A 19821-nucleotide genomic window follows, 5' to 3' on the forward strand; every position below is an offset into this window, starting at 1 on the left:
GCCCGGCTAATTTTTTGTATTTTTAGTAGAGACGGGGTTTCACCGTTTTAGCCGGGATGGTCTCGATCTCCTGACCTCGTGATCCGCCCGCCTCAGCCTCCCAAAGTGCTGGGACTACAGGCGTGAGCCACCGCGCCCGGCCCCAAAGGAAGTTTTATTACTAAAATATTTAAAGGATCTCATACTACATTTAGACAAAGTAATATGATTATTTTAGCTAACATTCAACTGCAGGATGATGTCCAAAATTATATATCTAGTATATTACAGATAATAAATAATGGGAAGCACTCGAGTATTTTGAGATGATATCTTATTGGCCTCAATTCTAAACTAGATATACACAAAAGAGGGAAAGGAGAAGTATTTCTTAAGCAGTAACTATAATCTAAATAGTCACTCACATGCTCCTTTCTACTGTAGCTTAAATATAAACATTCTTATGGGTGGTTTTTTTTTTTTTTTGGCATATACTAACTTTGCTACCAAAGAGATATTTTACAACAATATAGAATTTATTACAGTTGGTGTTATGGGTTGAATTGTGCATACCCCCTTTCCCAAATTCATGTGTTGAAGCCCTAACCCCCAGTATCTTTTAATGTCACCTTACTTGGAAATAGGAATGGGCCTTAATCCAATATGATCGGTGTCCTTATAAGATATGAGAACACCACACGAAGACAGATGGCTACATGACAACAGAAGAAATAATTGGAGTGATTTATCTATAAGGAGAGGAAGACCAAGGACTTCCAGCCACTATCGGAAGGTAGGAAGAGGCAAGGAAGGATTCTCCTAACGGTCTCAGTGAGAGCATGTTGTGCTGACACCTTGATTTTGACATTTAGCCTCCAGACTGTGAGAGAATCAATTTCTGTTGTTCTAAGTCACCTACTCTGTTGTGTTGTGCTGTTATAGCAGCTCTAGGAAATTAATGAAGTTGATTAAGCTGTTCCAATTTTATCAAAATACTTAGTTATCAGTTTGAAAACCATTTCACATTTATTCAGATGTAAAAGAACCACCGCATTCAGTAATAAAATATAAATCTGCCAGTCTACCCCAAACATTTATTGAGCCTACGTTGTTTTCTCTCTTCTCTACCAAACACATATTTTAAACGGGTATTTTTCTGTTGTGAAGAAATTGTTCCTTTTGGGAGAAATGTATTTCAGAACTTTTAATCCATGATTTTGGTGCTCAGGAAACTTAATTCATAAACAGGTTCTGATAAGTTAAAATTGTTAATGAACTAAATACATAAGCAAATTGTTCCTTTAACAAATCAGAAGACATTAATTTAGTAAAAAAGTGAATGCATTTTACATGTAATGCTGTATTAGTGTGATTAAACAATAACAAATTTCTGTCCTCTGAATTTAGAAAGAAAAAAATCTCACTTTTCCTTCTCTAGAGAGAAGTTTTGAAGTAAATGGCTAATGTCCTATTTTTCATGATGCTATATGTATGGAAAGGTGGGAAAGCTTCATCAGGGTCCTCAAAGAGAATAAATTAGAGTGACCGGAAAGTTGAATTCTGGTTTTTAAGATATTTAAAATTAAATAAAGAGAAATAATATAGAATTTCTTTCCTTGAAAATATTTGTGTAATTTAATTCAATAATACTCATTTAGCACATACTATATACCATGAAGCATGCTAGGAACAACAGAAACTAAAATGAGCAAGACCTAACCCGCTGTCCCAGAAATCACATTTTAATAGGACAGACAGGAATGTGAGCAAGAAATAAAAGTGCAATGTAATAAGTGCTATGATGTGAATTTTCCTGAAGTGTTCTAGAAATATAGATAAGGATTGGTTCACTCTAACTAGGTATGTTTGAGTGCAATAACTTCAAGGGAAACCATGGAGGATTAATGGGAACTTATTGGTCAGACACCACAGAGAAGGGCCTGCCACACAGAAGAGAAAGGAGTGGAGTCTGAGAATTCAGAGAAGACAATGTTTCTAGTTTGGTATTGACTGGGCAGTGATCTTTTTAACAAAAAAAAATAAAATAAAGCCGTCATTTATTTAGCACCTTTTAGTTGCCAGACTTTGTGCTATGAATAGAAGTATGTAATGAGATACTGTAACTGAAACTGCCAAGTTTTTAAATATCATTGGTGGCTGGAATTTGTATGGAAATGGGGAATACAACTGCCAACTATTGTTTTTGTTTCTATAAAAACGAAGATTCAAATTCAGCTTTTAAGGCAAATTGTTCTTTTGTTTAGGGAAAGCAATACAATGGGCTTTTTCATTTTGCAAGTAGAACCAGTGGGATGGAGATGGGGAAGTTTGAGATGACGAGGGCGTAAGCTATTTTATATGATATGAAAACATTGTTTTCACTGAAGTCTCCTGCTATAGATGCTTTTTTTTTTTTTGGAGATAGGGTCTCGCTTTGCTGCCCAGGCTGGAGTGCAGTGGCAGGATCACAGCTCACTGAAGCCTTGAACACATGGGCTCAAGTGATCCTCCTGCCTTATCCTCCACGGTAGCTGGGACTACAGGCACACACCACCGTGTCCAACTAATGTTTTTTTATTTTTTTTATTTTCTAAAGACAGGGTCTTTCTTTGTTGCTCCTGCTGGTCTTGAACTCCTGGGCTCAGGAGATCCTCCTGCCTTGGCCCCCCAAAGTGCTGGGATTACAGGCATAAGCCACATCTGGCAACTATAGATTCTTGTCACAACTGGGAAGCTGGCCTTAGAGAGCATGGAAGAAAATCTGGGTCACCTTCTCTTTATACTGGGAAATGTTGGAGGACTCTGAATGCTGAATAGGAGGGAGGTGTAAAGATAACTCTTTTAGGTGAAGGTGGGTGCTAGCACTGTTGCAATGGTAGGCTAAGTATAACAACGGACAGAAGGAGACTATTTGGTACAAGAAATAGTCTACACTCAAGGAACTATCATAATTGGTACCTGGTTTTAAATTACTTGCTATGTTGTAAGTCCCTTTCACTATCACCAAGATTTCAGTAAAATTTGCTTAAACATTGAAGTTGTTCTTGTATTAGTTTGCTAGGGCTGCCATAACAAAGTACTACAAACTGGGTATCTTAAATAACAAATAGATTGTCTCACAGTTGCAGAGGCTAGAGGTCTTAAATCAAGATGTCAGCAGTGCTGGATTCTTCAGAAGGCCGTGAGGGAAAAATTTGTTCTATGCCTCTCTTGTTGATTTGTAGATGGCCATTTTTTTCCCTGTGTCTCTTCACATCATCTTCCCTCCATGCATATCTCTGTCTAAATTTTCCTTTTTAGATGACAACAGTCATGTTGGATTAGAGCCCGGCCTAATGACCTAACTTTCATTACTCTGTAAAAATCTTGTCTCCAAATAAGGCAACATTCTGAGTTACTGGTTAGAACTTCACCATATGAATTTGGGTGGGGGGATGCAATTCAACCCATAACAGTTGTGCTTGGAAGAATTAAGAGAGAAGTCTGTGTCTACACTGTGGGGGTAGTATGGGAAGTGTGGAGTGTGGCCCTGGAGTGGAGATGCTGATAACAAGGCCAAACGTTCAAAGTTGTCTACACTGTGGGAATAGTTGTATGGGAAGTGTGGCCCTAGAGTGGAGATGCTGAGAATAAGGCCAAACAGTTCAAAGTTGTCTACACTGTGACAGCTTGGACAGATTTTTGGACTGTGAAACATTCCTCTAAGGATTCCTAAAAATGCTGTCAAAGGAAATTCTGGTGAAAGCCTGTATTTCTTCCTGTCAATTGAGGTTGGGGCTTATGCATTATTATTTAGACTGAAAAATCTAGCAATAAGTATCATTATCCACATTTTATATTGATAAAACCACAACTCAAAATGGTCAAGTGACTCTCCTGAGACCCCACTGGTGGTACATGTCACAGACAGTTTTCAAACTCAGTAATTTTTTTTTTTTGTCTCCAAGAAAGTGATCATTTCAAAGCTAGGAGAAGTAAATTTGAAAATAAACAATTTAATTTCAAAAAATATTATTTCATTATTAGAAGGTAAACCATCTGTCATACACACCATTATACCCCAGTGTTTGGCATAGTAGGTGCTAAAAAAAATATTCTTTGAAAAAAAGAATAATATCAAGTAGAGATATTCAAATGGCTGGGAAATGAAAGAGAAGTTGGGGTTAGAGACTCAGATTTTAAAAACCAGAATAACAGGGATATTTCTGAGAGAGAGTAAGAGGAGGAAAATTCTGAAGATGAAACTCTGATAAACATTTTTGCTTGGGAACAGAAACAAAATAGAAGTAAGTCAAGGAGCAGGAAAAATTTCCAGAAAGAGAGAAAGAAATAAGTCAGTAGTGTCCTGGGGACTAAAGGAAGAAAGCTTTTCCAGAAAAAAAGGGATGGTTAATAATACTTTGATCAAGATCCCAGAGTTAGGATGAGAGAAGTAGAGGATACTTCTTTCTCCACAATATCAAAGAAGGTAAAGAAAGAGAAGATTAATAAAGATTTACATAAATTTTGAGGTGATTTCTATAAATAGAGAGGAGAAAGTTTACCTGATGATAGGTTTTCTTTACGATATAGAAGACTGGCACACTTGTTGGAAGTAAGAGAAATCAACCTAGAGTAGTAAGTGAAGGAGAGAAGTAATGTCCTGGTATGGTGTGGGTAGGAGTAAAGAAGGTTCTCTAGAGTAAGGAAGGAGTGCTGAGCTCTAGTCTCGGTAAAGCCAGAGGTGACTCCTTTCCAGGTTTTTGCTCCAACAAAATCAACAGTTGCAGTAGTTGCAGTAGTTGAAGAACAGGAGTGGCTTTTTTTTTTTTTTTTTTTTTGGATACTGGGTCTCACCCTGTTGCCAGGCTGGAGTGCAGTGGCGCAGTCTCAGCTCACTGCAAACCTCTACCTCCCAGGTTCAACTGATTCTCTTGCCTCAGCCTCCCAAGTAGCTGGGATTACAGGCACCTGCCACCATGCCCAGCTAATTTTGGTGTTTTTAGTAAAGACAGAATTTCACCACATTAGCCAGTCTGGACTCGAACTCCTGACCTCAGATGATCTGCCCGCCTCAGCCTCCCAAAGTGCTGTGATTACAGTCATGAGCCACCATGCCTGGCCAGGAGTGGCTTGTTGAGTGGACTCAGAATTGAGGATAGTTGAGAAGAGAATTAGGAAAGGGATAAAGGAGACAAAAACATTAAAAATGTTAATGAGACTATGACTGAAATAACTAATGACTAGATCCTGGCTGAGTGGAAAAGGAAGTAAAAACCAAGAGGTTTAAGAGACCAATGGCCAGAAACAGGGGAGCACAAAACAGTTGGGGCTTGATGAGTTTGAAAGGAAATTTAGAAATAAAACGACAGTATATAATCTATTACACATAAATCTCTTTTTATAAGTTTGGGTAGAGTGTGAATTGAGTCATTTGGGCACACCTTTCTTTTTGAAGTTTCTTCTGTCCCTTAGGAGCATGATGTTAAAAATTTAGTTCATAATTATTGCTTCCTGAGATAACCCTTTCAATTTCCATTTTGTACTAACTACCTAAAATTGACTATAGGATTCTGTTTATAATTCAATGATTGTTAGAGCACTGTCCGTCAAAGTGATATAACATATCTTTCAATTGTGTAAAACATACCATTATAATTATTTTTTTCTTAATAAGAGATAAATATTAAAAATTCCAGTCAGGAAAAAAGTGGAGAAAATTAGCATAATAAAAAGACAATAATTCCTTCTAATCCCAACATTCTAATTTTAAGACATATACTTATCTTTTACAGAGAAAACTAAGCACTTAAATTCAGTTCTTCTCATGGTAAAGCAATGCTAGCACAGGTAAGCCCTGCTTTAGTATCCAAAAGTAGAGTAAAATTTCCAAATACATTTGTATTTTCATTTGTGTCAATAGACTTTTCAAGTATTTGTTACCTTTCAGCTGACTGCTCAAATTCCTATGTGAGTGGAAACGTAAGAACTCGTATAATAAAATAACATCACCAACCTAGGGAGGCTTATTTCTACTTCCTCTTCTTGCATCTCAGAGAGCCATTTTAGGATTTGTTGAGCAGTAATTAGTTTTTCCACTTCTTCTATATCCATACCTTCTGCAGGAAGTATGATAATTAAGCTAAATTCATCACCTTTGTAAGACAATTCTAAAACTTGGTAGTTCAGGGAAGATTCAGAAAAATAACCTGGAATAGACAAAATAAAATATCAAATATACTTGGCAATTCTCAAGACTATGCTTAGGAACTGTGGTTTCTCACATTACCATATTTTGTTCTCAGAAGAGCCTTCATCATTGGAATTTTGACAGTTGAACCATTTTTCTTAGTAAAATTTATCAGCTGTGTGTCCTCTTTTCTGAATTTCTGTTTCCAATCTCCTTTGAAATAAATAGCATTCACCAGGACAAGCCGAGTCAGAGGGCCAAATTCTTCCCCTGAAAACATGTCTTTAATTTTTCCTAGGAAGTGGGTGGAGGAGGAGGTAAGAAGAAATGTGCAATAGTGATTCAGTGGAATTGCTTTGAATAGAATTAAAGCAAAAGTGTCTTTTGCAGATCAGTTTTGGATAGGGCATGTTATCATCTAAATATGGTAATTTTGAGAATAGACGGGATTGCTGTTAAATATTTCATGAAGAAACAGGTGCAAATGGAATTTCACTACGAAATTAGAAATATGAGACTGTTTTAGGCAAACTCAGATATACCTAGACTCTCCAATAAGATCATTTGTAACCATTGTATGTCAGACATAAAGAATAAAAATATTACTTCTTCCATATTTACTGGTATTATTCCATCTATTTCAAGGTCTTCTAAAATGTCAGTCATCATAAGTAAGTTAATGGTACACCCAAACTTGCCATTCTGACAGCTGTGTCCACTGACCATTGGAAAGGGAAAAGAATGGAGGATACTAGTATGATCCTTTTCCTCCAAATAACTGGTCTCCTATTTCTATGTCCAGTGAGTTTTTCCAAGTTATGAGAAATAGGCATGACTGGGTGCCATGGAGCTGTCTAGTGATGTCCTCATTTCCTACAGCTGTGAACATGGCTCACCACGCTTATCTCACACTTTCAACTTATGCTTCCCCATATAAGGCTTCCTATAAGGCATATGTCTTATAACATCACATTTTTCATAGCTGATTAAATAAAGAAACAAAGTACTATTAATTGAGGGCTTGGTATATGCTTGTCACTTCACATACATTATTATTAAAACTCCAAAGAATTCTGAAATGTTTTAATAATATCCTCATTTTAAATGGAGCATAGCTTATAACTTTCTAAGATTTCAACTCAGATTTATATGAATTTGAATTTACTATATCCCTCTGTAGTCAACTATGAAATTTTTTGCTAGCTTGCATTTAAAGTGTAGACTACCATGTTTATGATAGAAATATTAACATTTATTATTAAATATTAACACATTCAACTAAAATATGATAATCATTTTCAGCATCTGTGGGAAAGAAGGCATTTGGGATTGACAGATTTAACTTCTACCTGGCCAAAGAGATTATTTCTGCTTTTATGCCTGAAAAATCTATGTTTTAACAAAAATTATTATTAAAATTATTTCATTAAAAATTCTATAAGCAGGTATCTCTCAAAAGAAAATAAAAGAATCAGTATTCTTTTCAAAGCAGCTTATAATTTCTTTCCAGTTTTACAATTTAATATTAATTTAAATAACTATGAAATGAAATAGGATATTTGATTCCTCTGATCCATACTGCAGTAGGAAAATATTCAGCCATTCTTTACTTTAGGATATTAAAAACCATGAATACAATGGCAAATAATAATTTTATGAAAATGGGAAACTTTACCATCTGTTTTTCTTTCTACCCAGGTACTTATCATCTCTGCACAAGCCTTTGCATCTTGAAAATCCACCAGTTTTATAGCACTCTGAAAAAATTCCTTGTTGCCATGGAGATACTGTTCTTTCACAGTGAATCCTTCTTGAAGGTAGAGGGCATTGGCAAGATTAAATGTAAATTCTTGTTTTTTCTCTGAGATGGCAGAGAAAAATGACTTCAGTACAAAAAATTCTTCCCCTAGAAAATAATTTTAATGTATATTGGCATATTGAACAACATAAAAACAACAGCTTTTCAGCTTTGCTATCTAAGTACTCTGATTCATATCACCGTTTTTTGCACCCTTAGGTATAACTAACAATCCCTTCAAAGTTAGTATAAATATTTTAAGGATGTATCTCCTGTAGAATATGCATTTTGTAGAGAAATCATCTTTTATATAGAAAAAAGAATGTCCATGCAAATTTGAAATTTGTCAAAAAAAAGAATATGCATTTATAGAAGCTGAAGGAAAGTCCCTCTTGATAGTCACATTTAGCGCATTTTTAGTTATTGAAATTTATGTTTAGAATCTTATTTGCATAACGTGAGCATGTGATACCTATGAAAAGGGAATGCTAATGAATGCTGATGGGGGCATGACAGTGATGAGCAATCCTTTTCAATATTACTTTTATTTCAGCTGAAGAAAAAATTGTTCTCTTATAAGCAACTGCACCTGTACAGGTTTTAAATTTTACAAGGCAACCTCTGTAATCATCTCTAGAGATGCGTAAGAATCAGAATTGCCTATTTCTACAAGTTCATGAATTTATATACTTTGGCTGTCGACATCAACAATAAAAATCTTTAACCATTTTAACTCTAACCACTAGCCAAAATAAGTCAGTCAGGGTCAACTAAAAGAATCACTTTCGGCCTATTATTTATTTTTGGACTGTTCTGACTGTAGTGTTGTCTGGAAGCTATATATGCGTATGAGAGAACTCTACCCTGATATTAGGTTCAATAGCTTCCTGTTCATTGCAAAAGTGTACCAACAGTTTTCATTTCCTTCTGGCTTAATCTTAGAACTCAATCATTAAGTCTTGTAACTCTATTTCAAATAGGTTCTTTCTGGGCCTTCATTATATTTTCAGTTAAATACTGCAAATGCCACTTTCATAACCTAAAATTGATATATTCAATTAATCTTTATTCAAGAAAACCGGGTATTACTAAGAGGGACTTACTACTAGATTTCTACTGGAAATAAGGAGGATGTGTGTGTGTGTGTACCTAAGCTTGTGTAAATACATTTTTTTTTTTAAATCAGAAAGCTAGCAGCCCATAGGTCATCTTTGTGCAAATAAAAATAGTTCCCTCTCTGGGGGCTGGGCAGCTCCATGGCCTCTCATCTTGTCCAGCTGGGTTACAGAGGCTACATTTCAGTCCCTACTTGCCTTTTTGGCCTGGCGTTCTCACAGCCTCACAGGAGGCTCTATGAAGTATACTGCATTATATTTCAAACTCCAGGATTCTCTGTTCACTGGTATATAGATACAGGTATAAACAATTTCAGATATAAAAAAAACTTACTTCCATATGATTAGATCTGAAGAATTTCAGTAATTCTTTATAACCCTGAAATTCCTTACATAAGGAAGGGAAGAAAGTTAAGCCATTTTACTTATTTGTACAATGATTTCAGATGTAACCATTTATTGCTATCTGAAGCCTGAAACAAATATCTCAATAGCTGGGAGGCTACAGAAAAGGCTTTCTGAGTAAAGACACGAGAGCTTTTCCAAAAGAATTAATTAAGGTCAGAAATGAAGTGACAGAATCTGAAACTAATTTTCAGAAATCTGAAATACATGAACATCTTTAAAGGAATAAAAAAAGAGAGAAAGGGAGAAAAAGTAGTTCCAAATCATTTGTCAAAGCAAATAGATTTATGTCATGTACTTAAGGTCTAAGTCTATGTGACAAACAGCTGCCCTTTGATAAACTGTTGAACTCAGAAGTCAATGAAAAAAATGTCACTAAGTAGTACAAGTTTGGAGAAGAATATAACATTATCTGCCCTATAAATTTTATTTCGTTTCTAGATTAATGACATTTTTAGCACAGATCAAAAATTATATATCTCCTAATAAGTAATGACAACAAGTTTATTTCATTTTCTAAAATAGAGCCATGGATAACCCACAGGTCATGGGTGAATGTGGCTCTTGATTTGATTGTACCAGACCTCCAGAAAATGTTCTAAAATTCAGTGCATGTTCTCTTCTGCTAGTAAAAGTCTAAAAGCCAATTTTGTGTGCATATGGGAGATCCAAAGATGAAAACAAACGTAGTCGTAGAATTATAGATTATTTCAGCCAAAAGGTCCAAATAAATTACCTAACCTCAACTTTTCTTTTTACAGTGAGGAATCTGAGGCCCAGAGAGATTAAGAAGCTTCACAAGTGACATGACTTGTGCCAAATCACAAGGTCATTTAGTTGCAGAACTGGGACAGGAATTCATGCCCAGTTCTCTTTTCAAAACCCTGTGGAAAAAAGAAGCACATTGAATTTAGCCTTTGATTCGTCATCAGCATTATCAGAGGTAAAGCAAAAGGGAGTATTAACAGATGTTCAGCAAAATGGAGGAGGTAAATTCAGAGCAGATGTTTTGACAATGAAGTAAAGAAGGAGAACTGAGGACACTGAGAGCCTTACATAATATATGAGAATTAATATTCTTATTAATATATTAGTGAGAATATATTGCTCTTATATTCTTAATCCTCACTGAATTATTTTAGGAATTAGCACTGAGCAAATTATTTAACCTTTCTTTGCCTCAGTTTTCTCAGGTTTATTACAAGGTTGTTTACTTAACAAAGTAATTATAAATATTAAATGAGAGAATATATATTAAGCACATGAAACAGTGGCTGATATCCTTTCTATATTTTTGATAGTGCGTTATTACTATTACTTTATCATGTTCACAATTCACACCTGTTAAAACTTCTGTGTTTCTCTATATCATGTATCCATTTAAAGTAATTTAAGTTTTCAGAGACTCTAATTTATGTATCTTCACAAATATTGTATTACTTTTTCAAAGCTATAGCATGTGGTTTAAACGTTTCTGGGAGTGGTATATTGGGATTTGCTGAAATTAATCAAGACTAAATCTGGAATACATTGGCTTCAGTGTGCACTATTTGCAAAGAAAAATTCTTACAATTAACTTCACTTCACTATTACCAACGTCTTTTCTGTATAAAATTGTCTTTATTTAAAATGAAGCAAATAAAATCTTGTAAATAGTATTTTCAGGAAAGCAAATTTCTAAATACTGCTACTCTGTGATAAGAAAAATACACTGAAATTATAGTTGTAGCAACTAAATTCCCAAATCAAAAATCTGTATTTAGAACACAGTATCTCAGAGTAATCCAAAAGCTGAAAATTAAAACAACTATAGAAACTGAGAGCATGAGATAGCTGAGGAGATGAGCAACAACTTTTTTTTTTTTTTTTTTTTTTTTTTTTTGGAGAAGGAGTCTGTTCTTTTGCCCTGGCTGGAGTGCAGTGGCACGATCTCAGCTCACTGCAACCTCTGCCTCTTGGGTTCAAGCACTTCTCCTGCCTTAGCCTCTCAAGTAGCTGAGACTATAGGCACATGCCACCATGCCTTGCAAATTTTTGTATTTTTCCAGCCTGGTCTCGAACTCCTGACCTCAAGTGATCCACCTGCCTCAGCCTCCCAAAGTGCTGAGATTACATGTGTGAGCCACCACACCAGCCAAGCAACAATTCTTTCAAATGGGATGCCAGCACAAAAGCACAGTATCCCAGTAAGAGGGATAGACACTATCCCAGACAGTCCATGAGGAGACTCCAACAAAACAATCATCATTCACAAGCACAAAGGCCTCTGATTATTTAAATCCTTTTTTTTCCATTTTCCTTTTAAAACTAGTAACAAATAAGCTTTTAAAATGAACAAATTAATGTTTTTTCTTGGTCTCGTTACAGATGAGGTGCATTTTTTTTAAGAGAAATGTTGGAAACAACCTACTGAAGAAAGGCTAAGTAAGTAATGGTACTTCTATAAGAGGCAATAAGATACAGTAATTAAAAATCATATTTTGAATCAGTTCCATGACATGGGAAAATGATCACAACATAGTGATAGTGGAAGAATATGTATGTGTATAGATGTATATTTTATGAGTATGTACATACACACACACACATGCACGCCCAGTATAATCTCAAGTAATTAAAACTGGCTAAAACAAACTAAAAGAAAATGTACAAATATTTACTTAATTTTACATTTATATAGATGTCAATTTCTTAATAATTTTTGTAACCTTTTAAAGGAATTAATTATAAATGAATGAAAATTACATTTACAATTCTCCATTTTATTACAATTTTGTACTTTTCATTACATTTTCACTTATTAAAATTTCTTTATCCTGAACTTCTAATATTAAAAAATGAATGCGTCCATATCTTATCCAGTATAAGTAAGGAGATGTAAGAGTCTCACCAGCTGAGGTTTCCTGTTGTTTTAAAGTTTGTCTTATCTGCTGCTGTGCTTTTCCTTTGGCTCCCAGTTGTACCATCTCAAGAACCAAAGTTATTCCAAGGGGTGAAAATATAATGTTGTCCTTATGAGATAAGGAAACCTCTTGATAAAGATCCACTGCAAATTCGGTATTTTTTTGAGCTGAGCATCTTGAGGCTTGACTTCCAAAAAACAGCAATAGAAGACTCCACAAGAAGATTGTGTCCATTTTGACTTCTCTGTATTGTTTAAATCAAAATATATTCATTTTCAAAATAGAGTTTTCCACAGAGAGCTCAACAGAAAACTTTCTACCTGTTGTAGCTTTCTATCTTAATAGAACTTACTACCACAAGTGAACTCTATCCAATTAGATTTCTAAGTATCATCTATTCAGAAAAATAGTTCATGTGTTAATGGTATTTCTTACATATCTTCAAGAACCAGTAGAAAATATACTTGTAGTTTTGTAGCAAAAATCAAAAAAGACACTACAATGTTGGAATGTTATCAATGGCAATGGTATCTCCAAATAGTTATACAATAGTTTTTTTCTATCTTTTCTCATGGTTAAGTGGGATAACTGTAACTCTGACATCAGGTAAACCTTCTGTGCTGTCTACTCTACAGTAATTTATAGATCAAGAGGAAGAAATGGAATAAAAACAGACTTACTCCAGTGTGGTTTTAGACCTATAATATTAGAAAATTAATGTATTCTAAAGCAACTGAGTAATCTGGCTAACTTTTTACAATTTTCCTCACGCTTTATTTCTTAGGACAAAATAACCCAAAGCCCTCTTCCTGCTTTTCCAAAAGAAGACAAATACAATGCAGAAAACCTGCAAAGTTTGAAACAAAATGGCAATCAAATATAAATGATACAATAAAGTACTATGCTCACTACCTGGGTGATGAGATCATTTATACCCCAAACCTTAGTGTCAGGCCATATACCCATGTAGCAAACCTGCACATGTACATTAATCTGTAATAAAACTTGAAATTATAAAAGAAAAAATATAAATAAAATGAAATATAATATCAAAGAATTGACAGAAATACTAACAAATGTAAGAGTAGCAGCAATTAAAAACCATAAACAATTCACAAGACTAATAATACCCTATTAAAGTGCTCTCCACTAAAATTGCAGGAAATTCAACCATTTGATTATATCTCAAGCAGAATTAGTTTTGCAATATTACCACATATTTGGTAGAATGTTGACTCCAAGGCCTCATAAATTTTAGTAACAATAATTTTACCTTATAAATAATACATGTTAGTAATCCTTAAAAACTTATCCATCAGTAAGTTACTAGGAAGTAACCCTTAATTAGGGGTAAAGATGAAAGCCTTTAGAATAGTCTGTTGTCAGCCTTAAGTAGAGACTTACATTTCTAGAGTGTTTTGCAGATCATTAAGGGTACCATAAATGGTAGGAGTCCCTAAGAACAACTATATTTATATATAAAGATTACTAATAGTCAAATATTGTTCCAAATTAAACTATGGAGTCATTATTTATCCTTCAATGTATTTTGTTAAACTGTATTTGTTTAGATATATATTTGCAAAAGACAAAAGCCTCAAAAAACAATCCAAAGCAATTGTTAGAAAATGTGTTGGTAAACTTTAGATATAGACCTATATGCTATTAATATCAAGCAAATGTTTCATTAGGGATTAATTTAGCATATGAGCTTATAAATGAGAGTGCAACAATAGTTAAAAACCAGTGAGTAAGAGAAGTTTTACATGCAAAATAAATGTCTGTGTATCATTATCTTCTAATATATTCAATTTCTCAGAAGACTTCTGACCAAAATATGTGTTTGTAGATACGTAGTCAAAATGTTATTAGTACCTTTAAGTTATCAACTGGAAATACATTAGATATAGCTTTATGTATTTGGTTTATATTGGAATAATGAACAGTATTATTAAAAATGTAATTTTTTTCTTTGTGGTAGAATCTCAGTATTAGAGTTTCCTTCTCATTATTATTAATAATCTTAATAATTAAATTTATATTATTTGAGCATCCACATCCATTTTTTCTAGAAAATTTCTAAGCACTTAATAAATTATAACCTCAGACAAATATTGGTTTTAAAAACTCACTTACCTCATCAGGTTTTGGATCATATCTTATCAGAAAGCACAAAGTAATGCTGAACTAAACAACCTGATGAATAGTCCTATAAGAACTGGATCTTCTGATTTGTGGTGAAATCATTTAAGGAGAATAAAAGCGATATGTTAATTAAATAAATTCAAATGATTTTTACACCAAAGTAAATTGAAATGCCATTCCATACTCTACTAAACATTCATAGGCAATGTTATTGCATACATACTTATTCAAAAGCTATTTATTTCTAAGGTACTTACCCCAAACTGACTTCTGATTATTCACTGGAATGTTACAACTAAAATACGCTTGCTGGAAAACTCTTGTACATAAACACCTGAGCGATCAAGGCCAACTCCATTTATCTTGACCATTGCTTGATTAATTCCTCTAGAACAAAAGCAGGTGTTCACTACATTTGTATTAAGAACTAACACAATCGGGTTAATGATCAACTGATGAAATGTGCAAGAATTGAGAAAAAAACAATTATAGAATTTTTTAAAAGTATTAAATTTATATTATTATTTTATCCATTATTTTGCTTCTTTTAAAAGTTGCACAGAATTTGAAAGGATGCGCTACTGGTTGTAAATTTGCTAGTAATTAGTTCTTTTTGTTTCTCACAGGACTCCTACATCAGATTACCAATGCACTTTGTCATAAATATTTCAGAATGCCTATGAGAAAAAGAATAAAGCTAAATCAAGTCCAGAATACAGAGACAAATCACTGCTGCATTGACAGAGTTCTCAACATTCATCAAATTATACAATAGTCAGAGGAGTTTCCTGTGGATATAAGGTCCATTTGAATCCTTAAGAAAAAGAGTGGATATTGAAGAAATATGTTCTTTATTCTGAGCAGAAAGGCCAGCAAAAAAGATAATGGATTTGCCAAAATATATCAGGACAATACTATTAGCCATAGGTAATTGGATGATAAAAATTGCTGTTACCTTTATGTGCTTTTGAAACTCTACATGATTTTCTTTGCAAAAAGGTCATTAATAAAAAATTGCATAATTTAATGGGTTTCATCTCATTTTTGTAGTTCAAATCAATCACCTCAATGGCAATCAGATATTAAGCACATTGTATTATTTATCTATAGCCTTTGAGAAGAGAAAAAAAATTTAGTTCACTTTTAATTAAATATCTGTTGATCCCCAAATTTAATACTATTTCTGATAAACTCATGTAAAAGAAATAAAGTGAATATAGATAGCTTTAAATGGAATTCATTTTTAAAAACTTGTCAGAGGACCCTGTTAACATCTTTCCATGTCCTAACATGGCTATAACTTAAAAATAGGCCTGAGAATAGATCATTATAGGCCATAATCTACTAATTAACTAAAATTTTTTGATTTCCCATATAGGCATCTCCAAATGTTTTCTAGATCTTGAGTTTTATTCTAATATTACCTACTCTATCATAAGCACACTCTAGTGTAGCTTTAACTTAACACAGAGATAATTTTCCAAAAAGAGTTGTGCAATACAAGAATACTATCATTCTACTTGCTTCACACTGCAATACATAAATATTAAGTCTGAATGTCAAGACTATCATTCAATCAATGCTTTTCTACCCATTTACTGACACCAGCAAACATATATCACCAGTACCCTTGGCTACCACATCATTATGTCTGTACACTGCTCAGATCACAATGTGATTTATCCAGAAATAGTCCATTACTTTTCCTACCAATGGCAGAGACCGTCACTCTGTCCTACTAAGACCATTTAATGAAATTGTTCTGTAAGGACCTTATATTAGAGCAGTTCAGGCAGAATGTTCATTTTCCTGTCTCTTGAGGAGTAAAAAGCAATAGCCATAAATTTATTCTCCCTGGTTTAACCTCTTTTAATAGACAATGACGACAATACAATTGTCCATAAAATATTACCACAAATTTTTAAAATATTTTCCCAAACCGCTTTTTTCTACAATTCTATTTTGCTCCTAGAAAATCGGGGTGGGGGGAGAATTATTCATTAATGAGAGCCAACGTGTCTTGGTAGAAGGTTGATCGCCATTACTGTCCGACTGTAAAGTATAAGCCTAGGAATATATATAAAAACCACAGCAAAGGGTTACAGTTATCATCTCATCAATTTTCTTATCCTTTTATAGTTTTTTCAAGTAAAAGTGCACTTAATTCCAAACTTTAAAAATGTATAAGCAAATGCCCTCATCAGTAAAGAACTTAAAAGTTAATTCTTCCATTTAAGCATGGACTCATTTCAGGCAATTTTTTTTGGTAAGATTGTTCCTAAATTTTGAGTGATAATAGGAAAATGTTCTGACAAAAGAAAATGTTAAATTATATTTAGTGTAAATATAAGTAATACAAACAAGGTAGCCTATTGAAAATTATGACATATCCTATTTTAATGTGACCAATTCCTTTTACCACAGAAAAATGGATCATAAGTAATTGAATCTGAATGTTAATTTCAGAAACAGTTTATAATGCCTTCAGTTCTGTTAAGAGTTGACAGGTGAGATCCTGCTACCTGCCTAGAAAATTAGATGCTGTGAGTTACAAAAGAAGAGTAAGACACAGAAAAAAAGACATTGTCTTTTTTCTTCTTTTTGTGTTTTTTCTCCAAATTATTAGAAACAGTTACCTTGAAAGTCTCATACCTTTAAAAGTTCTCTTCTCATTGAATATATTTATGAGACAGCTCTTCTTAATTCCTTTTACAGAAGAAGCCCTGATGTTAATTAAGGATGGAATTAGAGTTACAGCATAATACCATGCACATGTAGTAGGCTATAGAGAGAAGGTCTGTCTGTATGAACCAGACTATCTCAGGCTATCACATCAAACAAAGTTATCTTCAAGGGTAAACAGTAAAGTATATCTAGCAAAAGAATTCCCAAATTAGACTGGAAAAAATATGCCAGATTATGAATTTCCAACTTATGCCAGTGGGCTCATTTAGTATTGGCTTAATAAACCACTACATTTTATATAGCTTCACTTCAGAACGCTGAGGGTAGAAAAGGTGCATTCTATTTATATGTGAATACCCGGAACCTAAAATAATCTCTTATACATGCCTTCAATACTTACATGAGGGATGGACGGATCAGTGGGGAAAAGAGCCTTTGCAAATTATTTGGTACCCGCATTCTACTTTTATAACATCTTAACATTCCATTAAATTTCTGGGCATGTGGCTCAGATTTCACTCCATTGTACTATCACCAACCTATGATTCATAAATCATGTGCTCTGAGTTTGAAATGATGGATTACCCAGTCAAACCTCCTACCCAGTGCAAGAAGTCTTTGCAATATCCCCGTGAGACAGTTACCCAGTGTCTGCTTGAACATCTCAAATAATCTTTTTGTTCAAAAGCAACTTTTTATATTTTAAAAAAATTTACCTTGAAATACTTTCAAATTTACATAAAAGTTGCAGATATAGTTCAAAGAACTGCTATCTCCACCTCCTCCTCTTTCCCCAATTGTTAGCATCTACCGCATGTGTGTGTTTCATCTATGTATCTATCCTCCCAATAAGCAAACAGATGTAAATATAGATATGTATATGTGTTACCTGTGTGTGCATATATATACATTTTATATATACATATAATTAGTATTTTCTGAATCATTTTATAGCAAGCTAAAAACATAATTTCTATCATACTTAAACATTCTATTATTATATTTTTCTAAAACAAGGACACTTCTTGTACATCATCACACCACCCAACAGACAAACACACACGCACACACACACAGAGACAAATATACTTTTCTCCTACAATCTTTCCTGCATGTAATTTTCATTCCATGAGGAGGAAAGGCGATATGAATAGAAGTCATAATGCCTAACTCAGAATACACTTAAATGTAGTTAGAATAGGCAGCTGTCTTCTGAAAGTCCTTCCATCACCGCCTTCTCCACCAAACCAAAATATTTGCTCCACTGGTGCTGGAAAGTCTAGTGTTAGAATTCATTCCATTGGCTTTATACTAATAAGAAGCAAGTGTACAGAATGATGAATGGCAAATACCATGGTTTGGGAGTAAAACAGACCTGGGTTCCAATCTCAACTCTGCCATTGATAATTGAGCACTCTCCTAATAGATTCGCATCTCATATTTTAGCTCTAAGCTAATATATTCATATGATTATTGTGTGGTTTAAACACAATGGACATTTGCAGTTGCTATACCAAGTGGTCCCCTACCTATTGCAAATTATTTTCCTTTACTACATGTGTTATTGAAAAATTCTTCTTAAACTTTAGCTGGTTTTGAAAGCACTCTTTAAAATATAAATATACAGTAAGTCATTATAGTTATGTAAATGAATTTACCAATTCTTTCTATAGGACACAATAAATAAAGCAGAATAATAATATTGCCTGGAAGATGATTATATTTGTAAATAAAAATGGGTCAACAAACAGAGGCAGTAAGTTAAAGAACCAAATATTTCCCACTTGACTTTCCACATAGAGTGGGTCCTTTATATAGCCCCAGGCCCTTTGATTTTTTTTCAAGACTATTACATCTTCAATGTGCTATGGCATTCAATTTTAAAGTACAGTATAACAAACTATTGAAGTAGATCATATGCAGTAATTTTCCAATAAGTTTATAGAATGAATAAAAGCCAATAAGAATTAACAGGAAGTGGTGCTATTGACAAAGTCTAATCACCATTATGAGAATCATTTAAAAACTACTAGAAAGTGTAAAAAAGTGGAAACAGTTTTCTTATTCACATTTGTAGATATTTACTCCGTCAGTACTTTTCATATATTTCAATGCAGGTTTTACAATGAAAACTGATCAAAAGTGTTTGTCTATAGGAACAACCAGAAGGGCAACTGGTTAGAACTTTGTTCTGGAATCATAAAGTTTTTATATAAAAATCCTTGAGAATAAATACCAAGATGTTGCTCCCACTTTAGTTCAATATTTATTTTATTAAGAATACAGAGAAATTGACAGATGATAGATAAAAGCAGTACTAAATTATCCCATGAAGAGAAAACTTCCTGAAGTTTAAATATAAAATAAAATAAAAGGCAGAATTCTTGATGCTTTTTCTGCATTTTATATCTGTACCTTATGTAACAGTGAAGGTTTTTCTGTTGTAATTACTTCTTATTTTTCTTCACTTCACAACTTTTTTCTTGGCATAATTGCTTGGCTTTTCGTTCATGATGCAGAATTTCCTTGGGAAACAGGTTTTTCTCATCAAATACAGCTTTCAAAGCTACAAAATGATGAGGAAAATCACAAGTGAATTATATTTGTTAAGAGACCTATTTA

General features: G+C 33.7%; 2 protein-coding genes and 1 long non-coding RNA gene across 9 annotated transcripts in view; 1 reads left to right on the forward strand and 2 right to left on the reverse strand.

Annotated features, from left to right (window-relative positions):
- SERPINI2 (serpin family I member 2) overlaps positions 1 to 17732 on the reverse strand; it is a 35031-nt gene extending 17299 nt beyond the window's left edge. Inside the window, exons 1-6 of one of the 3 annotated variants that reach the window (NM_001394327.1) lie at positions 17600 to 17732; positions 14772 to 14901; positions 12357 to 12613; positions 7824 to 8054; positions 6248 to 6442; positions 5975 to 6167 (exon numbers count right to left, since the gene is read on the reverse strand). In NM_001394327.1, the coding sequence (NP_001381256.1) occupies positions 5975 to 6167; positions 6248 to 6442; positions 7824 to 8054; positions 12357 to 12603 (866 nt within the window). In that variant the 5' untranslated portion in view covers positions 12604 to 12613; positions 14772 to 14901; positions 17600 to 17732. Of the gene's footprint in view, positions 1 to 5974; positions 6168 to 6247; positions 6443 to 7823; positions 8055 to 12356; positions 12614 to 14505; positions 14597 to 14771; positions 14902 to 17599 lie in introns of those variants that run through there. The other 2 variants (NM_001012303.3, NM_006217.6) reach the window with 2 other exon arrangements.
- LOC105374197 (uncharacterized) lies at positions 10340 to 15229 on the forward strand. Of its 2 annotated transcripts, none has more exons than XR_924683.3 (3): positions 10340 to 10409; positions 11834 to 11890; positions 15141 to 15229. It is a non-coding gene; the product is annotated as an uncharacterized LOC105374197 (long non-coding RNA). The 2 variants fall into 2 exon arrangements; XR_001741012.2 differs by having other exon boundaries at positions 10384 to 10455.
- WDR49 (WD repeat domain 49) overlaps positions 19453 to 19821 on the reverse strand; it is a 179240-nt gene continuing 178871 nt past the window's right edge. For all 4 annotated transcript variants that reach the window (NM_001348951.2, NM_001366158.1, NM_001348952.2 and 1 more), the window contains one exon: positions 19453 to 19765. In NM_001348951.2, coding sequence (NP_001335880.1) covers positions 19647 to 19765 — 119 coding nt within the window. In that variant the 3' untranslated portion in view covers positions 19453 to 19646. The remainder of the gene's footprint in view (positions 19766 to 19821) is intronic.

This window comes from Homo sapiens, chromosome 3, assembly GCF_000001405.40.
Source record: "Homo sapiens chromosome 3, GRCh38.p14 Primary Assembly".
Taxonomy (NCBI): domain Eukaryota; kingdom Metazoa; phylum Chordata; class Mammalia; order Primates; family Hominidae; genus Homo; species Homo sapiens.